Source organism: Homo sapiens, chromosome 16 (genome assembly GCF_000001405.40).
Source record: "Homo sapiens chromosome 16, GRCh38.p14 Primary Assembly".
Classification (NCBI taxonomy): domain Eukaryota; kingdom Metazoa; phylum Chordata; class Mammalia; order Primates; family Hominidae; genus Homo; species Homo sapiens.
In genome coordinates this window covers 83,019,027-83,042,520 of record NC_000016.10, presented here as the reverse complement: position 1 = coordinate 83,042,520, position 23,494 = coordinate 83,019,027, and the positions used below count along the sequence as shown (strand labels likewise).

The 23,494-nt window shown below is 42.9% G+C and overlaps 1 protein-coding gene across 8 annotated transcripts in view; it reads right to left on the bottom strand.

Annotated features, from left to right (window-relative positions):
- Window positions 1–23,494, bottom strand: part of CDH13 (cadherin 13) — a 1,173,672-nt gene that overhangs the window by 758,120 nt on the left and 392,058 nt on the right. For 7 of the 8 annotated variants that reach the window (NM_001220488.2, NM_001257.5, NM_001220489.2 and 4 more), the window contains one exon: window positions 10,303–10,511. The exons of the other annotated variant lie outside the window; for it this stretch is intronic. In NM_001220488.2, coding sequence (NP_001207417.1) covers window positions 10,303–10,511 — 209 coding nt within the window. The remainder of the gene's footprint in view (window positions 1–10,302; window positions 10,512–23,494) is intronic. 8 annotated transcript variants of the gene reach the window in all.

Below are 23,494 nucleotides of genomic sequence, written 5' to 3'. Positions count from 1 at the left end.
AGTATACAACGCACCATAATGTAGAATCCATGGGAGCCCTCAGCTTGTTTTCCTGCGACTACATGGTCCTGTCTCGGGGTGATGGGAGACAGTGACAGATCATCAGGCATTAGATTCTCATAAGGAGGGTGCAACCTAGATCTCTTGCATGTGCAATTTACAATAGGGTTCACACTCCTATGAGAATCTGATGCTGCTACTGATCTGACAGCAGGCAGTGCTCAGGCAGTAATGTGGGGAATGGGGAGTGGCTATAAATACAGATGAAGCTTTGCTTGCTCACCTGCCACTCACTTCTTGCAGTGCAGCCCGGTTTCTAACAGGCCACGGACTGGTACTCAGACAGGTGGGTGGGGGACACTCTTGTTTTAAAGAAATAAAGTAAAGTCACATGTCTGCAGCGTGTCGGGTGTCTTGAAGGTTAGATGGCATCATGGCCAAAACAAACAGAGGATTCAAACAGTTGGCTCAGAGTAGAAAAAAATTGCAGTTTACATCAGTAACAAATGTGCAAAAGTATTTTTGTCTAGAACGTGTGAGATCAGGAAAGAGGGGAAAAATGTATAGAAGTGATAGCAACTTACTGGCTACTTCACTTAAGAATAATTGATCAGTGATTAAGAATCATCCATTAGCAAGGCACTGAATGAAGCATGACATTTGTTTTATTAAATGTGTCTCATGATGGCATCCACACAAGGCCAGAGTATTATGTCCATTGTACAGATGAGAAAACTGAACCTCAGAGAAGTTACGTAACTTTTCAGTATCATGTGGCTGAAAAATGTGTGATTCGTTTCTGATTTTTGGTCATTTCAGGTACCTCTTAGTATCATCCACAAAAATTTTCGCTAAATATCCCCATGAATGTATGTGTGTAGAAACAGGGGGCAATTAGCTCCAGGTTTTCCTCAAGGTACTTACCAAATAATTCCTGAGATTCTGATAGGTAGTGGATTTAAAAGTTGTAACCACCCAATGCAGTAAGAGACGTATTAGCAGGGTCGTTGGCTTTTGGGCAATTGACGATATATTTTATATTTTTATTAAAAAAATTAAAAACAAAAACAACTGTTTCTCCCAAGTGGCTCCTTCTACTGATTGCTCCTTTTATTTTTTTTTTGGAACCATTTCCATCCTGATTCTTGAAACTGGATTAGGAGCCAAAATTACGTCTTTTAAATTGCATGTTTGCAACGATGATGAACAAGCATGATAAACGAGCCTTAAATTTAGCCTTTTCAGCTTCTGTCATAACTTTTCTTCTTTGTTTTATTTTTAAGAAATTCTTGTAATGACAAAAAAGGGAAAAATATTTTTTTGCATTTAATTGAAGCAACTTGATTAAGAGACCAGTTTCCCTTTATTGAGGCAACTTGTATTGACTTCCAGTTAAGAAGGGTAAATTGTTCATAATGAACTTTTAAATACTGCCAGGTCTTTTGGAGTTTGTTAAGTGGACCTGTAGAAATAATTTCTTCTCTAGGAAGTTTAGTCAGTGCTTCCTATACAGTGAGCACCTGAGGAATAAGAGTGGTGATGGTGTAAGTTCGCCCATAATCCTGAATATATACAGGTTACAGAAATCATAGAATTTGGTCATGTTGGGCATGGATGGAGGACTGGGTCACCTCAGTTTGCCTCGTTCATTAGCTGAACATTTATCATAGGTCTGGATTTAACAATGCAATCACTATGAATAACTCCAGTTTGTTGTGAGACACTGACTGTCCCAAGTACTTTGGATGCTGTGATGGCTAATATTGATTGTCAACTCGATTGGATTGAAGGATGCAAAATATTGTTCCCCGGTGTTTCTGTGAGGGTGTTGCCAAAGGATATTAACATGTGAGTCAGTAGACTGGGAGAGGCAGACCCACCCTCAGTCTGGGTGGGCATCAACTAATCAGCTGCCAGCATAAAACCAGGCATGGAAAGAGCAGACTGGCTGAGTCTCTGGCCTCCATCTTTCTCCCATGTTGGATGCTTCCTGGCCTCGAACATCACACTCCAAGTTCTTCAGCTTTTGGACTGTTGGACTTACACCAGAGATTTGCCAGAAGCTCTGGGGCCTTCGGCCACAGACTGAAGGCTGCACCATCACCTTCCCTACTTTTGAGGTTTTGTGACTCAGACTGACTTCCTGGCTTCTCAGCCTGCAGATGGCCTACGATGGGACTTTACCTTGTGATGATGTGAGTCAATTCTCCTAATAAACTCCCCTTCATATATTCATCTATCACATTAGTTCTGTGTCTTTAAAGAACCTTGACTAATACACACGTGTTGATTCATTGAATCCTCACAGCATCCCCATGAGGTTCACACAATTATGAACCCCTTTTCCAGCTGAGGAACCTGGAGCAGAGGTAGTAAATGCAGCACTGGGATTCATGCCAAGGTGGTCTGGCCCCAGAGTGATCTTAGTGTGCTGCATGGGAGCGAGGGCCTTCAGCTCAGGAGCTCAGCATTAAGACAGGCACAAGCAGAAGAAAGCAGACTGTTTTGTTTAGTACTATGAGTAGAGAGAGCCAGGCAGGTGTCTACAGGAGCCTGGAGAAAGAACACCTAGCCAGCTGGGGGATATTCAGAGAGCTGTTCCCAAAGAAGGAAAATCTTGGCTGGTTCTGAAGCATCAATGGTGCTGACCATAGGGTAGGTGGAACCTCAGTGGAAGGAACAATGTCCAGACAGAGGAGTAGCCAGTGTGAAGGGATGGGAAAGCTTGGCCAATTCAAGAAACCACAAGTGATTTGGTATTGAAGGAGGGAGAGTTCAATGTAGGGTGTGAGAGGGGTAACTCGCTCCACTCATCCATGTATTCAAAAGGCATCCACTGAATACTCTGCGCCAGGCACTGGGCAGGGTGCTGAGGATAGAGTGGTGAACACACAGGAAGGAAGAAGGGAAAGAAACAAGGAAGGGAGGGAGGCAGGGAAGAGACTGTTCCTATATTCATCCAAGGCGGACATTAAACACCTGAACAAGAAAGTAAATACATAATTACAAATTGAGAAGAAGCCTAGGAAGGAAAAGCACTGATGCCAAGAGTGAGACCAGTAGGGGAGATCCTTTCTTGGGATGGGGACAAGAGGCGAGGGTGACAGGAAGGGAAGGCTCTTGGAGAAGGTGACAATTCCGCAGGTCAAGCCACTTAGAGATGAGCAGGAATGAGACTTGAAAGAAGGCTGCAGAGATCAGTCAGGCTAAACCACAAAGGACCTTTTCAGACATATGCTGTCTTTAGAATTTATCCCCAAGGCCAGGTGAGCTGATCAGGAAGTGAGAGCCTATTAAGCAGAGGAGCGAAGTGATCAGGTGCATTTGAGGAATAACTCCAGACTGGGAGCAGTGAAGCTGGATCCAAGCGTATATAGCCTGTGGCCCTCATAACTCTCCGTGGGAACCTGGGCCATGGGAGACTTTTGCTTTGTTCATAAGGACCAGCTGCCTGGCCGTAGGCATCTAAATTCTACCACTGTTTAGTGTGTGGGCTTCCATGTTTCAAGACGAAGCCTGGAGGTACAGTATCTTTAGTTCCCAAACCCAATGTCAGAATAAATTCCTCTAAGCCCCTTGATGTCACTTCCCAACCTGACTTCATCAAGTTCGTTAACTGATGTCAGAATTACTTGCCATGATCTATAATCAGGCAAGCTACAAGTTCTTAACTCAGAAAGAAAGAGTAAGTATGGTGTTTTTACTTTGTGAGTGTTTTCGTTGGCCAGGCCAGAAAATGAAGTTGTTGAATCCCATTTATATGGCAGATAAAGACATTTCTGCGTGAGGAACGAAGCATGGAGCTTTTCTGTGTAAACTTTTGAAACTACATACAAGGCGAACACGCATGTGTGCACACAAACACACACACGCAGACCCCTCATCCACTGTTTTTCGTTTCATCCTTGTTGGGCCATGAGAAACAGCAGATTTGGTGGGGAAAAGTCATGATTCTGTCCAGACATAACTTGGTGTGTCAAGTTCATCATGACCTTCCACAGACAGGAGAGCCCTTTTGTGCACGGAAGGTTAACCTCACTATCTTCCATAACAATTTGTCAGAGCCTGTCAAAAGACTTGGAATTAAACTGCTCTTCTGCCTACTCAGATCTAAGGTGATCTTACATAAGCCAGGCAGGTACTAGATTCTGGGAAGCCCATTAAAAATGCAGAAATAGCTTGTGAGTCTATAATTAAGTCATTAACAATCAGACCTCACAGATTTGGGGTATATGTTTTGCAGGTGAGACAGGGTCATAAGTAGCAGGTAAAAATAAGAGAGGCCAGGCTCCTTTTATTAAAGAAGAGCCAGGCTCCAGTTACCACAGCTAAAATAGGCTTAACTGTGATTATATTTGCCTTAGAGAATCTTTCCTTCCAAAACACAGTGACATGAAATGAGCAAGTGTGAAATCGCCCCTGTTTTGGTTAGGCTGGCGGTCCCACCTACCTCTCTGAGCATGCCTTCCCTTTCTTTTCATTGGCTTTACTTTCTCTTCCTGTTCCCCATCTCTGGCTTCTGTCTCAGGGCCTCAGTGAATACACTTAGCCCTCAGTTCCTTATCCTTCCTCCTGAGGTTCCAAAATTATACCATTGATGGGAACTGTCCCTTGATGTCTGGTGCTATGCCCAGGAGAACAACTCTGTGACACAGACTGTTCTTATCCCTATTTGATAGATGAGGATATTGGGATTCAGATAATTGAGTCACTTGCCCAAGTCACACAATGAGTAAGTGGCATAGCAGAAATTTGAACCCACTCATGTCCAACATAAGCCAAAACTCCCACCACTATGCTGTTCTTCCTTCAAATTTGTACTCTAGCAGCCAGTCCCACATTGTCCATTGACTCCTGGACATCTCTATAAAGATGTCCCTAGGAGCATATAAATCAACACACTCAAGCCTGACTAGACGTCTTTCCCTAACATTTCTTTCCTGACTGGTCCAATTCATCTCCATCCTCCAGGCTAGACAATCTGGAATCATCCAGATACGGGATCCTGGCTCTTTCTTCCTTTCTGGCAAATCTTGCTTCTGGTTTCCCTCCATTGCTCCCATGTTGCTCTAACTGATGCTCTCATCTCCTAGACCCATGGGCAATGGCAGCAGCCTCCCCAGTGGCACAGCCTTCTAGCAGCAAAGTGGCAGGAAGGAGAATGGGTATTTAGGCAGAGGCCAGAATTTCAATCTCATTTTTGTCAGTTTCAAGTTAGAGTCTCTTGGCAAGGTTCCCATATCTGCAGGAAGGGGTAATCTCGGTAACCCCACAGGGAGGTTGTGAGAATTAGAAATAACATAGGCTAAACATAGACTAAGATGCATGACCGTAAGAAAGCTCCATGAAATCAATTCTCAAAAAATAGTAGTAGCTATTATTTCAACTAGTAGCTCTAGTCTCTCCCTACTCCAGTCAAGGCTCCTGGATGAACACCACCAAGGACTATTTTTATCCTGCCTGTTTCTCTGCTTAAGAACCTACAGTGGCTCCATAGCTCCTGTCATATCAATCTAGAATCCCTCCTCCTGGTCTTCAGATGCTGTCTCCATCCTGTCTGCCCACATGTTCCCATGCTTTTATTTAGCATTCCCTTTCTGTTCCAGCTTCCTCTGGCCAAGAAAAGTGGACCCTGGGATGCTGGACCCTGGCTTGTGTGGGGTGTATGGGTGTGCAGGCTAATCCTTGAGGTGGAGCCAAATCATCTCCGGGAACTGCAGATTTCCTGCCTGAGAATGAGAAGATGAATTGCATCTAGGCTGCACGACAAGATCACCAACCAAAGGGCTGGGAAGAAGCAGAACACAGGGTGCAAGGGAGAGGGATGCAGAGTGGGAGCCAGATATCAAGGGTCAGAATTTACAGGCAGCCACAGGAGTGTTCTATCAGGTTCAGCCACGGGAAGAGGGAAAGTGGGAAGGGCACTGAGCTGGTCCTGACAATCTGGCATTCTGGGTTGCAGGCCTTGCTTGCCTCTGTTGTAACTGCATTTGTGGGAGTGAACATTGTGCAGGTTTACTCTGTTCCAGATGGTGAGCCAATAGAACCTACTGTTAAAGCAGAGAGCTCCAGGTTGGGCACTGCGGCTCACACCTATAATCCCAGCACTTTGGGAGGCTGAGGCAGGAGGATCACTTAAGGTCAGGAATTCAACACCAGCCTGGCCAACACGGTGAAATCCCATCTCTACTAAAGATACAAAAAGTAGCCAGGTGTGGTGGTGGGTGCCTGTAATCTCAGCCACTCAGAAGGCTGAGGCAGGAGAATCACTTGAACCCAGGAGGTGGAGGTTGCAGTGAGCTGAGATTGTACCATTGCACTCCAGCCTGTGAGACAGGACTGAGACCCTATCTCAAAAAAAAAAAAAAAAAAAAAAAGAGGAGAGCTCCAGAGCCAGAGCCATGCTGCTAAGGTCTGAGGCCCTCTTCCGCCACCTACTAGCTAAGTGTCCAGAGCAAGAAACAGCCCCATTGTGTCTCAGTCTCCTCACCCAGTAGATGCAAATGATAACAGCACCAGTAACAGTAACAGCTTCCCTTAGCATACTGTTGTGAGGATGAAAGACTTGAATAAACCCAGGGTTTAGCACATAGTAAGTATTACGTAAGCATCAGTGTTGGTCATTGCTGTAGCATCAGCTGAGTGCTATACATTACTGCTACATGTATCGTCTCATTGAATCCACAGGAAGATCCAAACAAGTCTATTATCCCTATGTTACAGACGAAAAAATCAAAACTACATAGAGGCTCAGGAGGTAAAGCAATTGACTGAAGGTAACACAGCTTAGAAGAGAAACACCATGAAGACAGGCCAACATTTCCCTCGTAGACCCTCCCAACTATGCACAATGACCCGTCCTTCAAAGTCCAGCTCATGCAGGGGTTGGAGGCACGGACTCAGGGGCCAGGCTGCCCAGGCTCAAGTCTCACTTCCATCCAGCTTGTTATTCATTTTTAGACCTTGGAAATGTCACTTGGCTCTTTGTGCCTCAGTTCCTCCATCAGTAAAATCAGTAAAAACTCACTATGAGGCAGAACACAGTAGCATCTGCCTCCAGTTGCTAAGGAGGTTACGTGAGTCAGCATTTGTAGCCCATGGAGCAACACCTGGCACATGGTTGGTGCTTTGAGGACCAGCCCAGCTCCCCTTGACCTCTCCCCTCTCCAAATGCAGAGATCATCCATCACTGTTAGCTCCCCGCCTGGTACCCAAGCATCAATGCACACATTCGTATTCCCTCCCCAACAGGAGCTGAGCTGACTCAGGCACTCACTGATTTTCTTCTCTAGCAGCTGGCCCACTTGGCTGCACACAGTAGGACCTGCAAACATACCACGTGCATATCCATTGAGGTATGTGCTCTCTTCAGAGGGATTCTTTTGCTATCTATTTTGTTTTCCTTCATTTTCTTTTTATTTTTTTTTCCTTTTTTGAGGCGTTTTTATGAAGGACACAGCTACACATCTTCACAAAGCCTTTTTTCAAATCTCATAAAATTACTGGACGTGGGAGATGAATGCCCCATTCTGCTGAAGTCTGGCAAACTGAAGGACACGGCAGCCTCCGCCCCCTTTATAAGAAGCAAAAACAATCACAGGCAAGTTTTGTCGAAAATGCGTACAGACAGCAGCAAGCGAGAAACAGCCAGGACTCAGGGGAGCTTTGTCTCTGGATGGCATCTCACAGAAACTTGAGGTACAAACAATGCGTGGCTGAGTTTTCATAATGAACCCAGCTCTCCCAGGCCCTCAAGGTGGGGTTGGTCCCGAGAACCTGCCCAGAAGATCTTCTGCTCTCTTTGAAGCAAAATACGATGACAGTATCTTTTCCAGATAGAAAGATGAGCCACCATTCACGAAGAACAATCGCCATCTAAATGCATTCAAGCCCATGGGCAAACCCCCTCACCATACCATTTCCATGTTTCTATGGAACATTGTTTTTGCTGTATATCCTGGCAACTTTGTTGCTTTAGATATTTGCCACATAATTTATATCACAGATTAGTGAGATGCTGTGACCATTGGTCATGGCTAAGTAAGAGAAAAGCTTGCCTTTGTGGTGTCAATGGATTTCCACACTGGTATGAATTCACCAATATCCAGTTTCCTCTGAAACATGACTGACGTGCCGTACATTCGTTTTTAGGTTGCCATCTATCCTTAACTCACAGCTTCACAGATGCTGAAGGGGAATTGTGAAGTTCATCCAGCCCAGGAATGGCAGATAGGTTCCACCCTCAGAAACACCACTAAATGATCAATTGATAGTAGGTTCCAGAAGCATTGCAGTGAGAAGGATACTCAGGCTAAGCCAGGGGTTATTAGCAATATCTGCCACGAGCACGGTGACAGTAGGGTGGCACATGAGCCACTTATTTGCCACTGCAGGCTGTTTAACCTCGCTATTCTGCAGATAAAGAAGCTATATGATGCTCTCAAGATCACACAGACAGCACTGGCGGGAAGGTAACTCTCACATTGCCAGTTGTACTGTCTCTGCTCCCAGCTGTGTGACCCACACTCGCTCCACCACTGAACAAAATGAGTAGATCAAGCAGGGATGTGGCTAATATGGCAGGTGGAGAAAAGGGATGTGAATTAGGGGCTGTGAAAAATCGAGGAAGACCAAGCTCGCAGGTAGGAGAGAAGGCTAGGCATGCCAAGCAGGGGCATGCCATCATTAAGTCATTGTTTGGCTGGAATCCTGCTGTGTGTCTTGCCCTCCTTTTCTCACGAAGGTGGAGTCCCTGAGCTCCTGGTGAAGAAGGCAGGAGTCAGTAGTAGCAAAAAGTCTCCGAATGGCACAATCGGGAAGCCTGAATGGCAGTTTGTGACACTTATAAAGTGTATGCATATGTGTGGGAGTGCAGGGATCTGCATGCATGTGCCTGTGGAAGGGAACAAGCACTGCTGCCTGGCAAACGAGAAGCACGATATGCAATTACACACACATATAATACAGATATACCATGTGTATGTATATACACACATACATATACACAGTATATGCGCATATATAGTATGTGTATGCCTGTACATACGTATACACATATACACACATATATATACTGAAGTCACCAAAAGTCATTGGGAAACAAAACAAAACAACAGAAGGACCATGAGTAGGTTGGGCAGCTTATCTCTGAGATACCTATGACCTGTTAAATGCAAATGTATACATATAGACATACATATACACCGTATATATATACAGAACCGTAAACAATTACATATACATATATACATATACACACATAGATATACTGAAGTCACTGAAGGTCAATGGGAAACAAAACAAAACAACAGGAGGAGCATGAGTAGGTTGGGCAGGTTAGCTTTGAGATATCTTTGATATATTAAATGTGGATGTATACATATGTGTATACATTACATGCACATATACCATATGTATGTGTACATATACACATAAGTATATGGTACATATGCCTGTATATGGTATACACATACATGTACAACATATACACATACAGCACCATATACATACATGTGGTATATGTGCATGTAATATATACATGTACACATATGTACACATACACATACACCGTATATGTATACAGCACAATATGCAGCACCATATACAATTCTAGTGGGTCACCTTTTCTGGTCTATCCACCATCCATTTCCTTTCCTCTGAAAACAGCTCCTTAATTTACTTTGAGGAACTACATTTCTTTCACTCTCAGTCCATGAGTTTTCAGGTGAATAGGGCTGACTCTGCCCTGGCTTCAGGAAAAGAAATGTGACCGAGACGTGGCCAACCAGAACATCACAACCCAATGGACACCATGTTTAGTTCAGGGGTGGACACATGATCTAACCTACGAGACTGAATTCCAAGGTTTTGCTAGCATCGTCTTGAAGAGATGCTTTCTCAGGCGACTTCAGACCAGCAGAAAGAGGGTAGTTGCTGAGACCTCCACCTTGGGAGGCAGGGAGAGATGTGACTGTCTCAATACATCTAATAAAAGGAAAATGGAGCCACGAGATGCACAGGGATTAAAGCTGATTTGGACAGCTTCAGCCACGCCTGAAGGCAGAAGTATCCCTAAAATAGTTCCATGAATTAATCCACGAACTATGCCTCAATTAGTTACATGAATCAATTAATTCCCGCTGCCCCTCATCTACATTTTTAGAGTTGGATTTCTGTCATTTGCAACAACAATAACAAAAGGAATCTTAGCCAACATAATAAATTAAAGACCCATTTTCCACATAAGACAGACAGAACCTAATGTCCTCCTTGAACCCAAGTTATCTCAAACAGATGTGTTACCTGCAAGGAGCCCTGGATGTCTTTCCCCCCGACAATCACGAGTTCTGCCATATCTTCCGCATGGGGGGTCCGTGCATGGACGAACAGAGTTTTGCCCACTGCAGTTATGTTTCTCAGAGCAACTAAGCCGCCATCGCTGTTCACCTTGAAGTATGGGCTCGAGACCTCATAGCGTAGCTTGTCGTTTCCCTTACAGTCACTGAAGGTCACTGGGAAACAAACGAAACAACAGAAGGAGCATGAGTAGGTTGGGCAGCTTATCTCTGAGATATCTCTGACCTATTAAGTGTGAATTACCACATAGTTTCCCAACCCAGAGTTCACAAATGTTACGTTTTATCCCACAGCAAGATGCCTGTGCCCAAGTGACTTTGTGCTGATGGACTTCACTCAATCAAGACATGTCCTTGACGAACTCGCATGTTCCAGGCAGGTGCTAAGCTCTGAGTGTGCACACTTGAGTGCCTTCTCAGTGGAGTGAAGAGTCAGATCTGGCAGAGTGACATTTGAGGGAAGTGATCTAATCCTGGCATGTGTGGGTGACTGAGCAGAACCACAGGGTGCTCAGGACCATTGAGGAGAGCTGCACAGAGTCAATATTTGAGCTGGGTATTGAAGATAAGTAGGAGATGAGAAGGCCCTTAAGAATGTGGAAGACATTATAGGCTATTCAAAGGCACAGGGATGAGGGCTAAATAGCAAAACAGATTCAGGGAATGAGAATTAACGATGTGCATATACATGTACATGTATATACCATATACGTGTATGCATATACATGTACATGTATATACCATATACGTGTATACATATACATGTATATGTATATACATATACGTGTATACATATACATGTACATGTATATACCATATACGTGTATACATATACATATATATACATGCCTATGCATGCGCATGGATACATGCGCATGTATATGGTGTATACATGCGCATGTATATGGTGTATACATGCGCATGTATATGGTGTATACATGCGCATGTATATGGTGTATACATGCGCATGTATATGGTGTATACATGCGCATGTATATACCTACAGCACCATATACACACATATGGTATATGTGCATGTAATGTATACATGTACACATATGTACACATACGCATGCACCATATATGTATACAGCACAATATGCAGCACCATATAGAATTCTAGTGGGCCACATTTTCTTGCCTATCCACCATCCATTTCCTTTCCTCTGAAAACAGCTCCTTAATTTACTTTGAGGAACTATATTTCTTTCATGCTCAGTCCATATGGAATAGTCCATATGTTTTTAGGTGAATAGAGGCAAACTTAAAACGGGGCAGGGATGGTGGGAATCTAGAATGGTGGGGATCTAGAAGGGAAGGGTGGAAATGAGGCTGAAAATGTCTCTGGGAAACAAGTTGGGAAAAGCCAGTAAGTTATGGTGCTTTCTGGTAGCCCTGGACGATTTGTTGTGTGGAGAGAGTCAAGATCAGGTGTGTGCTCTGCTTCCAGTGAAGAGGAGTGCTTCTCAAGGATTGGGGTGCATCAGAATCACACAGGGTGCTTTTTTTTTTTTTTTTTTTTTTTAACAGAGTCTTGCTCTGTCATCCAGACTGGAGTGCAGTGGCGCGATCTTGGCTGACTGCAGCCTCTGCCTCCCGGGTTCCAGTGATTCTCCTGTCTCAGCCTCCTGGGTAGCTGGGATTACAGATGCATGCCATCATGCCTGGCTAATTTTTGTATTTTTAGTAGAGATGGGGGTTTCACCATGTTGGCCAGACTGGTCTCGAACTCCCGACCTCAGGCCTCCCAAAGAACTGGGATTACAGGCGTGAGCCACTGTACCCGGCCCACAGGGTACTTTTTAAGAATCCAGAGGACCCAATACAATGATTATAATTTGGCAGATCTGGGTTATAGCAAGTGATTTAAAGAAGGGCAGGAAGAGAGGCCAAGAGACCCAGTTCCAACGAGTTCAGTGTTGCATCAAAGATGGCTGTACAAAATGAAGGCAGTGGTGCTGATATGGAGAGTGGACAGATGTGAGCAAAGTTCCTGCCATGGAATACCTTATTCATGTGTGGGAAGGAATAGGGAAGATGGGCCCCCTGCATGAACAAATGGAGCACAGGGCATTGACACAAGCAGAGGCTGTGACGGCTGATCATGCTCCCCTCAATGGTGATTCTGCATGTGGTACACAATTCTATTATTATGGGTATCACAACTCATTATCTGTGCATGCATTTGCCTGTCTGCCTCCTCCTGTAAACTTTGAGGCCCCTTGTGGGTAAGCATAGAATTGTACTACGTGCTTTTTGGTCTCTGCTGAACAGGCTTATTTGTTTAGTAAACCTTTAATTGAAGCATAATGTAGACACATATAAGCACATAAATCAGAACATACAACCCAATGAATTTTTACAAAGTAAGCACAACCAACTGTCCAGCAACCAGGCCATAACATGACACATTACCAGTCCCCTCCCTTCCTGAGTAAAATTCCTAACCTCTTCCCCAGAGGCTACATTATTCTAGCCTCTAATACCACAGATTGGTTTTACCTGCATTTGCATGGCATCTAATGTGGTCATACAGTATGCACTCTCTCCTATTTGGCTTCTTCATTCGACATTACATGCCACGAGATTCATCATGTGGCTGTGAGTTGTGGTAGTTTATTCTAATCACTATAACAATAATCACTGATCACTGTATAGTATCCAGGTTACTATATTTATCTTTATCTTAATCATCATAGAGTATTCCATTATGTGGCTGTATTGAGTCTCTTTATCTATCCTACTCTCGACTGGTATCTGGACTATTTCCACTTTGGGGCTCCAAATATTGTTGCTAGGAACTTTCTTGTGTACATCTTTTGGTAACAACAGCTACATAGATCCTAGCACACTGTTAAAGCCAAATAAATATCTGAGAATCTAAGCTCATCTACATAGGTCCTAGCACACTGTGAAAGCCATATAAATATCTGAAAATCTAAACTGATATTTCTACTCTGGGAAGATGATACTTAGGGTGATAATAATCATATTAACTGATAATAATAGTGGATAATGCAGATTGAGCACTTTCCACATTCAAGGGTAGGTGCTACACACTTTGCACACATCACCTTAGTTAATCTTTACAATGACAACAAATAAAGTACTATTTTGATCCCCTTCTCCTACAGTTTCTAGATAAGGAAACTGAGGCTCATGGAGTGCAAAGTTGGTGCCCAGTACACACAGGTTGTAAATGATGAGCCAGGATTTGAACCCTGGACCATTTGCCTGTCACCACTGCACATTTTCAATAAAGACAATACCCCATGGAGAATACAACCCTTCTGAAATCCTATCAAAACCTGAATACAGTAGTTCCCCCATCTCCATGGCTTGGCTTTCTTCAATTCCAGATACCCATGGTCAACACAGGTCTGAAAATATTAAATGGGAAATTCCAGAAATAAACAATTCATAAGTTTCAAATTGTGTGCCATTTTCATTATTGTTATAATTGTTCTATTTTATCATTAGTTATTGTTGTTAATATTTTACTGTGCCCAATTTGTAAATTAAACTTTAACATAGCTATGTATGTATAGGACAAATTAGCATATATAGGGTTGGGTAGTATCCACGGACTGAGGTATCTACGTAGGTCTTGTGACACATCCCCTGAGGACAAGCAGGGACTACTGTAGAGAGCTGTGATTGCCCTGCTCAGTCCTGTTTTCATGTTCCTGCCCAGTCCTGAAGAGCACTGCACGCTGCGGTGCCTTTTGATCGCTCTGCAAAGGTTCTAAGGCTTTCCGTGGTTAAGTCAGCTTTAGAGCCATCTTTGCATGGACACACAAGTGGACTCTCAGGACCCTGCGGTTCTCAGACACTTGCTCACTTTCTCTAACCATGTTGGTAGCCCAGATGAATTGAACATGCTTAGTTTCAGTTTTTGGAAGTGAACTATGAAGAAGTGACACCAAGGTTGCTTTCACTGTTATCATCAATTAGTATTCATCCACTGGAGGCAAATTACTCAAATGACAAGGCCTCACAGGAAATGACTGCTTCAATCGCCAGCATGAGGTTCCAGACTTAACCCTCGAACAGGATCACAGAAGACAGTCTCAGCTGGGGAGTGAATGGGGTAGAGGAAAAGGCATATGAAAGTTTGTGGGGGTTCTGGATTCCCAGCTAAGTTTCTTCTTCCCACCCTTTCTTCCTACCATAAATATTTACTGAGAACCTACATTATGCTAGATGCTGAGGTTATAATGTTGAACAAAGACAGGCACAGTCCCTAGTTTGAAGTCTAATGTGGAAGACAGACATCAATTTACTACTCTTATAAATAATTGGGGACCTATTACTTAGGCAGAGAAAACCATAACATATGCAAAGTCCTGCGGCATCTACCGAACTGGATGTAAGCAGTTAGATTGGCACAGACAGCAAGGGAGAATTGAAGGAAGTTAGAATGGAGATAAGCTAAGCCCAGGCAATGTGGGGTACTGGGGGCCACACAGCTCTGCTCCCTGGAGGAAGCCTTGGATTCTCCTGTTGCAACTATAAGACCAGCTTTTCTCCACCTGAGTCTCATATAATTATGGATCTTCATTGCAAAACAATACTTAGCACTCAAGGTCCTCCATGACTAGGCTGTCCATCAGCCTCCCCTCTGCCTTTGTCTTCACTGCATAGCTCACACCTCACCCACTCTTGCATCTCCCTACTCTACTGTCCCACCCTTTGTGTATAGTGCTCCCTCTCTGCAGAAGGCATTTCTCACCTTCTTCACCCTGTTAACTCTTGCTTACTCTTCAAGATTCAACTCAAGCAACTTCTTCAAGCATTCTCTTTGTGTTCCAGAATTTCCTTCCCATAGAACCTTTTATATTATATCAATCTGTCCATATTATGTATTTGTTTTTTGCACCAGAACCAAGAGCAGAAATTGAGTCTTGTTCTTTCATTCATCTTTACATCTTCAGCAATGAACAGCATGTTTTTCCACATGGGAGGCCATCAGTAATAATTCCACTTTGCTCAGTTACTCTCCAGAGCAAAATGATGATTTAGTAATGGTAGAGGATTGGAGGCGGGGCGGTGGGGGGGGGGGGTCTCCCTTCTGTGCTGTGAGCAAGAGGCTGCCGACAAGGCTGTGAATTGGGATAAGAGGCCCGTAGTGACCTCTTGATTTCATTGAACCCAGCAGCAGGGAGTACAAGGAAATGAAGAACTCAGCTATGCTCTCCCCTTGGCCCCTGGACCCCGTGTGTATCCATTTAGAATGGCACTCAGCCGCTCTGCTTAGCTCTGACCTAGCTCATTGGTGAAGTCAGAGGTGGTGCCTTATCTGTCCCAAAGATGCCAGTAAAACTTGCATAGCCCCAAAGAATGGTTGGAATCAGTGTGTGCATTTTGAATGAAGTGATGCTTGGACAGACAACAGTCATGGCACTACTATTTATTGAGTGGTCCCTGAGTGCTACGCTCTATGCAAAGGACTGTACAAGTCCATACCTCCTTTCAGCCTCATAGCAATTCTATAGCAGGGTTGCTTAACTTTTGTTTTTTTCATTATCTACTCCCCTAAGGGCTCTTTTAAGTATTTTTTTCTAATTGCCACTATTCCTGTAAAATTTTAATATCACAGATATACTTATATCTGTTTAGGTACTACAAGTATATCTATACTTTACATTTGTAAGTGCAATTTTTGTCCCCCCACCCTCGAACCTATTTCACCCCTGTGGGGGAAATATAGCCCCAATGAGAATGCACAGTCTATAAATATATAAGCATCATATTATATTTTACAGGAGAAGAGACTGAGTCTCAGAGAGATTGACTGACTAGCTCGTGGTCCCATATCCAGAAAGGCCTAGAGCGAGAACCTTCTCTGATCTGTTCATTCTGCCTCTACAGCCCAAGCTCTGGGCACATCTGCTTCCTAGGAATAGATGGGCAAGTGGAGAAAGGACAGTTGCCCCAACATGGCCCCCTTGGGCATCTCACAAACCCCTTTGGGATCATCAGAGGTACCAAGTGAGGTCACACTGAGAACAACTGCAGTTTCAGGACCTGGCACATCACCGGCACTCAATACTTTCTAAATCAAATAGCTAACAGTTGCATAATTGGGTCTTTGTATATTTTTGATACCACTTACCAACTCAGGAGTAGGTGCTTTAGGCCATGGTTCTTTCTCAAGGCTGGCCATCTAAGAAATGCTGAAGGAGCATTAAAAAGAATAGCAATACCTGCCCCCACTCTCTCCCAAGATTATGATACAACTGTGCTGAGTTGCGGTCTGTGTGCACTAGTATCTCTTAAAAGCTCCCCCTGATTAATCTAATGCAGACAGAGCCAGGAACCAGGACCTTACATTATAAACTCTTTGTCAAGGTGCCAGGTCTCCACATTTCCCAGCCATTCCTGGAAAAGAGTAGAGGTTGGGGACTGGCATGCCAGCAACTGTTATTTCCGTGCCCCAAGAAAGGGAAGTTTTAAGGGTAGGTTTCTAAGCCCTTTTCTAATCCTGGCTTGTGTGTAGGAGCCCTGTGACGTTGGGCAAACCACCTGATATGGTTTGGCTGTGTCCCCACCAAAATCTCATCTTGAATTGTAGTTCCTATAACTCCCGTGTGTCATGGGAGGAAGCCGATGGGAGGTAATTTAATCACAGGAGTGGTTACCTCCATGCTATTCTTGTGACAGTGAGTTCTGGCGAGATCTGATGGGCATTCTTCCCCTTCTCTCTGCATTTCTCCTTGCTGCTGCCATGTGAAGAAGGATGTGTTTGCTTTCCCTTCTGCCAAGATTGTAAGTTTCCTGAGGCCTCCCCAGCCATGCTGAACTGTGAGTCAATTACACCTCTTTTCTTTATAAATTACCCTGTCCCAGGTATGTCTTTATTAGTAGCATGAGAATGGACTAATATACCACCTATATTCTTTAATCCTCGACATCTTTATCCATAGAGTGGGCATCCTCCTGAAAGGTACTATAATCCTTATGGCATGTGTAAACAAGATAATGCATGCCTACACACAGAAAGCACTTAGGACAGAGCTTGTTGCTCCATGAATGAGAATGATCACCATTATTGCCATAATTCTGGGCACTAAGGAAGCTACCTTTTCCTTTTCCTACACAGCTTCCTTCTTCCAGCTGATTTTTCTACCTCCTCCTCTGTCATTCCTTCTAGTCAGGTACCTTGCTAGTCTCAGGCTGTTGCCATGGAAATGGTTACTACAGGCATCACTGCTAGGGTTAAAGGGGTGGGGCTGATGATTCTGATTCAGGCTTGCCCATTGTTGAATCCCTTCACTTGTTTTGGTGAAGCCCTACGTACTTCATGTGAACAGTTGTGAAGGAAAAACGATATTAAAGGAGTGAAATTACAGAGCCCTGCTCAAAATAGAATCAACAAAGTTTTGTTCGATATTCTCCAAACGGATTGTTGGTGAAGACAACTTCGTACAAATGTAAGGCAAGAGTTTTCCTAAAGTAATGACATTACATTACACTGTGAGCTTTACACTAATGATTGCAATAAATCTTCATGTCGTCTTCTTCACATCATCAATTTGAGGTAGGAACTTTTGGTGTTCTGTGGAAACTGAGACTTAGTGAGGTTGCATGAGTTATCCGAGGCCACGAAGTCATTATATGAACCGAGGTCAAATCCAAACTCGGGAGTGTGGTTTCTGGTTCTAGAGCCCACACTCCTGAGGGCTATGCCAGTCTTTCTAGATGAATGTGTTCTTTCCTTTAGTCATTCAGCTTCCAGACTCACAATTTCATTGCCACCTCTCATACCACATCGATTATTTACTTAATATTTTTTAACTGACTGACCCTTTAAATTATAAAATTATTTGAATGTAGTATTTATAATACCTGTTGAATATGCCAGGTATTTTTTCAAATAAATATTAAAATAAATCTAAAGAGCCAAATTCAAAAGAAGTAAGTGTGTCCTTGTATCCACTAAAAAAGTTTGTCCTTGTATCCACTAAAACCTCCACAGTGACGTTTGTTGTACCCTCTGGAAATGCTGGCTGGTACTACATTCCTTGCCATCCAACCCTCAGTTAGACAAATTCATGCCTGCATCCACTCTACTCAGGTATATAATCCAGGAAGGCTATGATATCCAAATATCAGATAAGAAATAATTTATTTAATATAAATAATGAAGTCTTGATAAAAACAGAAATTCTAGAAAGGGCAAAATCTAAATTGCTCCTGTTGCCATAGCTTTGGCAATATCTAAAGGACAGCTCTGATAAACAGGAAGACATTGACTCAAAAGAAAAACAAGCCACAACATTTTCTTTTACGTTTTCTTCTTTCTCCTGGAGAAAACAGACTCTACATTCTCACCAATTATAATCATATCCTAAATTTCCTATTAAAGGGTGCATGTGATGACATCAGCCCTGCATTGTGTTTCATGTTATTGACTTTGTTGATGCCACCAAAGTGTCAGTGATTCTCAAACTTTTAAGTAGATATCAAGACCATATGTGAATTGAGCACAGAGTTCAAAGACATATTTAAGGACAAAACTGAACAGTTTATGTCCATTTAAAAAATGCTTGTTTCTATAGAGACAACTTCCTGGGTGGCTCAGAATGACACCATGTGGATAACTGAAAGATGTGACTAAACAATTAAACTTGTGAACAAATACTCAAAACCTCTATCTGAAAGGGGAAATGAACTATCTGTACTCTTCTGAACCTATGAATGACTTCCCTACATAGTTTCTCACGGATTTGAAATAACTTCTGGAAGGCAAAAAATATACACATATAAGATACTGTACATGGAGATTTATTGGAATAAATTGCATAACATCATTCTTTGAGATAATCTTAGAACACCCTGGGAGGGCGGGGTGGAGTCGGGGGGTAGTGAAAACACCCCACCTGGGGGAAATTGCAAATTAGACAAAAGGCAACACTCAGAGTTTCAATTATGCTTTCAGCGCTTTTCCACTCAAAATGTCCCCTGGGCTTAATGCAAATGTCACAAAAAGACAAACTTCAGCTGGGAGACAAAACCACAATTGAAATGGCAAGTTTGACATGTGAATTAAGGGGCTTAATCTTCCCGACCTTGATTTTATGCTTTTCCATTTCTTTCTTTTGAAGGTGGTTCTTGGGGATGAAAATCCAAAAGGCATAGATTTCCTACCATCTAAAAATGGATAAGGGAGAAAATTAAGCTCTGTTATGATCCCAGAAAAAATGAAATGCAGATGGATTTAAACTTATCTGCCAAATATAGAACAGTCCTGCTTGCAGAGCTAGGTATGAACTAATATATGAATTTTGTGCTATTCTTATAAGCGTGCTTGGGCCAATCTGTGATTTATACACTCACATCTTATATGGGTAAATTGTCCTAGAGTTTGCATGTATTTGTAGAGGCTTTGCAAATGTGTCTGCACATAAGTTGTGGGGCCCTTTCAGAGTGGATGGTCAGATTCCACTTGTACATGTGTGCAAGGATGCATATGAATCAGAATTACAGGCTCTGAATCAGTCACCCTGGAAGTTGTAGCCCTCCCCCAGACAGATATGCACAGATCCACCTCCAGGATCTTCATACGCACACACAGAAGAGAAGGACTTGCAGTGATGTGCTAGTCTTGGAAAAAGTCTCGAGTTGTAGCATCTGCCGATTTCTGTGGTTTAAATGCTCTACACGTTGTTTATTTCAAGGTACCAATGTGCCTTCAGTTGGCTTGCAACTTTTCTAAAATTTTTACCAGCTCTCAGAAGTACCTATACTAGCTGTCTCAAGGACATGACACAGATAGGAACTGCCCCAGAGCATAAGAATGTAGATTGTCTGTTTTGCCTGAGATGGAGAGACCCAGCTATCCTGGTATTCCTTGCCTACTTGGAAAAACAGAATTCAATTCTTCCTCAGCATGAAGGTCCTGCATATTGGTTAATCTGCAAAGCCTTTGCTGGGGCATGACAATGTCTTTCTGACAACTAAAGTAGCATTTAATTCAGAAATATCAGACAGACTCTTTCCAGGATACAGGCCATCACTTAATTGCTTTTCATATCCCTCAGTATGCCACTGGCATCCAGAGGCACCACCTTCCTTTTAAAGCACTCACAGGGCTTAGTCCAGAGTCTCTTTAGACTGGTCCAAATGGAAGAAACAGGAAGCATTTCTTTTGACTTTCCTGAATACTCTCATTTCACCAGCATTCTAGTCACTCAAGCCTTCATTAACATACGTTCAATTCCACCCACATTGGGTCAGATCCATGAGTGAATCAAGAAGCACACCCTACAGACTTGATTATTTCTACTCTTCTGCTTCCTGAACATGCGTATTGGGCTTCCGTGTTCCATGTTTGGCCTAGAGTCAGCACTGACATTGCAGAGCTTCTATAAGGTTCTGGGAGTATTCTAGCCATGACTGGTTGACCCAGGAGTGAATTTCACTTCCAAAGGCTTTATAGAATTTGGTAAGTGCAGAACAAACATAAAACAGTCTTAATTCCATTCCATGCTTCAGTTCCAACTTTGATAAAATAGAGTTTCAATTCTATCATGTCAGCAGAAGATATCATAATGAATGATACAGTCCAACAATCTTCAGCAGAAACCTATTTTTGCCATGTAACCCTTAAGGGCTTCCTCTTGGAAAAAGACAGAGGCCACATCTGCTTTCAGGGGATTTTCTCCACCTACCATTAAAAACTGAGCCGTTAGCTTTGAATCTTTGTTTTGTATGTGTGTCAGTCTTACGTTCTCCTCTTGCCGTGGATTCCTTAAAACATGGCAGGTTGTTTCCTGATAGAATGCTATGCATCATCTATCCCATGGTGGTTATAATCACTACGAATTTGTGTTTCAAATTGGAATTACTTTATATATAGCACAGTGCTTGACACAGTACATACTCAACCCTGTTTGTTGAATGAATAAATAGCAGAACTGCAACTTGGCAGCTAAGCAGATTTGAAACTCCCCAAACACAACTGAGAATGATGGCATCAACTCAAGTGAAGATTTGAGTAAGTGGATTTGAAAGTCACCCATTAAGCGAAAGAAAAATCATGGATTCAGCAAGTTTGAGAATCACCAAATCTCGGATTTACAGAGATCCCTTCTTGGTATTTTCATGACTGGCACACGTCTCTGACAAGGCCCTTAGTTTTTAAACTTTATAGCAATTATGTGTAAAAGTCTCCTTCTGAATGTGCATCTCAAGGGTAAATTAATGTGAAGAGAGCTTTACTCCACTGCAACTTTCAGGGTGTTTGGCCTTGCAGTTGGGGTTGTCTAGGGACATGTGACAAAGTGTCCTGGCTAAGCCTAAATTGGGATTCAGACCCTGATTGTGTTTTGATGCCTTGACAGTCTCGTGATTTCCCAGTTACCTCTCTATTGCAAGAGCAGATATACCTGGGGAGGAAGGGGGCCTCTGAGGAGGACTACTTCTGCATGAGCACCTAGAGAGGGAGGCAGAACCAGGAGAAAGAGAGAGAGGAACACAATATTGGTTTCCTAGGCCAGCCCCATGGATCCATAGTTCAGAGAAAAGAAAGCTACATACACAACTCAAAGATTCACAAACCACAGACAACTTAGGTATTTTCAAGCACTGTTATTTTGTTTCCTAATAGCAAACTGTTATGCTGAGCAGCAGGGTGGCCCCATTTTTGAGTGGAGTACAGCTTGGCTTTGTTCTGGTAGAGAGAACACTAGAGCAGTCATAGGGTCTGTTGGCACCTTGAGGGGTACATGGCTTTGGGGATCCTGGAGATGGACTTTTCCCACAGAGGGCAGTGGGGAGGCCCTTCCTCCAAGAGTTTCCCAGGAATGTTAATAATTAAAGAGGCCAGAATGAGAGGACATGGAAGAAGAATTTGTGAATTCATGTGACAGATGCCCTGAGGTCTTCCAGAAATAACCAGAATAAAAGGCCAGGAAGGAGAATACATTGAGGTCCTACAGCTATGCAGGTGTGGGGCTACAAGCCAGAACAATGCAAATATTCATATTTGCATGACGTCATATTTGTCCAAATTCGGTCATGTGCCACATAGCGATGTTCTGATCTACAGAGGAACACATATATGATAGCAATCCCGTAAGATGATAACGGAGCTGAAAAAGTCCTATTGCCTAGTGAGGTAGCTGTCATAACGTCAGAGTGCAATGCATTACTCATGTGTTTGTGGTGATGCTGGTGTAAACAAACCTATAGCACTTTCAGTCATAAAAGTCAAGCACATAAAATTATGTGCCATATGTAATATTTGGTAATGATAATAAACAACTATGCTACTGGTTTATATATTTAATATACTATCGTTTTTATTGTTTTTTTTTTTTTTTTTTAGAGTGTACTCCTCCTTCTACCCATTAAGAAAAGGTTTACTGGCCGGGCATGGTGGCTCACGCTTGTAATCCCAGCACTTTGGGAGGCCCAGGTAGGCAGATCGCTTGAGCCCAGGAGTTTGAGACCATACTGGGCAACATGGCAAGACTCCATATCTACAAAACATGCAAAAATTAGCTGGGTGGGGTGGCTGGTGCCTGTGGTCCCAACTAACCGGGATGCTTGGGCAGGAGGATCACTTGAACCCAGGAGGCAGAGGCTGTAGTGAGCTGAGATCGGGCCACGGTACTCTAGCCTGGGTGACAGAGCGAGACCCTGTCTCAAAAAAAAAAAAAAAAAAGAAAATGTTAACTGTAAAACAGCCTCAGGCAAGTCCTTCAGGAGGTATCCAGAAGAAGGCATTGATATCATAGGAGATGGCTCCATGCGTGTTATAACCCCTAAAGACCTTTCAGTGAGACAAAATGTGGAGGCAGAATACAGTGATATTCATGATTCTGACCTTGTGTAGGCCTAGGCAAATGTATGTGTTCATGTCTCAGCTTTTAACAAAGAAGTTCAACAAGTGAAAAAGAAAAAGAGAAAACATTTAAAAATAGAAAGGTCTATAAAATAAGGATATAAAGAAAATATTTTCTATAGCTGTACAATGTGTTTGTGTTGTAAGCTAAGTGTTACCACAAGAGCCAAAAAGTTAAAAAATTAAAGTTTATAAAGTAAAAAAGTTACAGTAAGCTAAAGTTAATTTATGATTGAAGAAAGAAAGCTTTTTCTTATAAACTTAGTATAGCCTAAGTGTACAGTGTTTA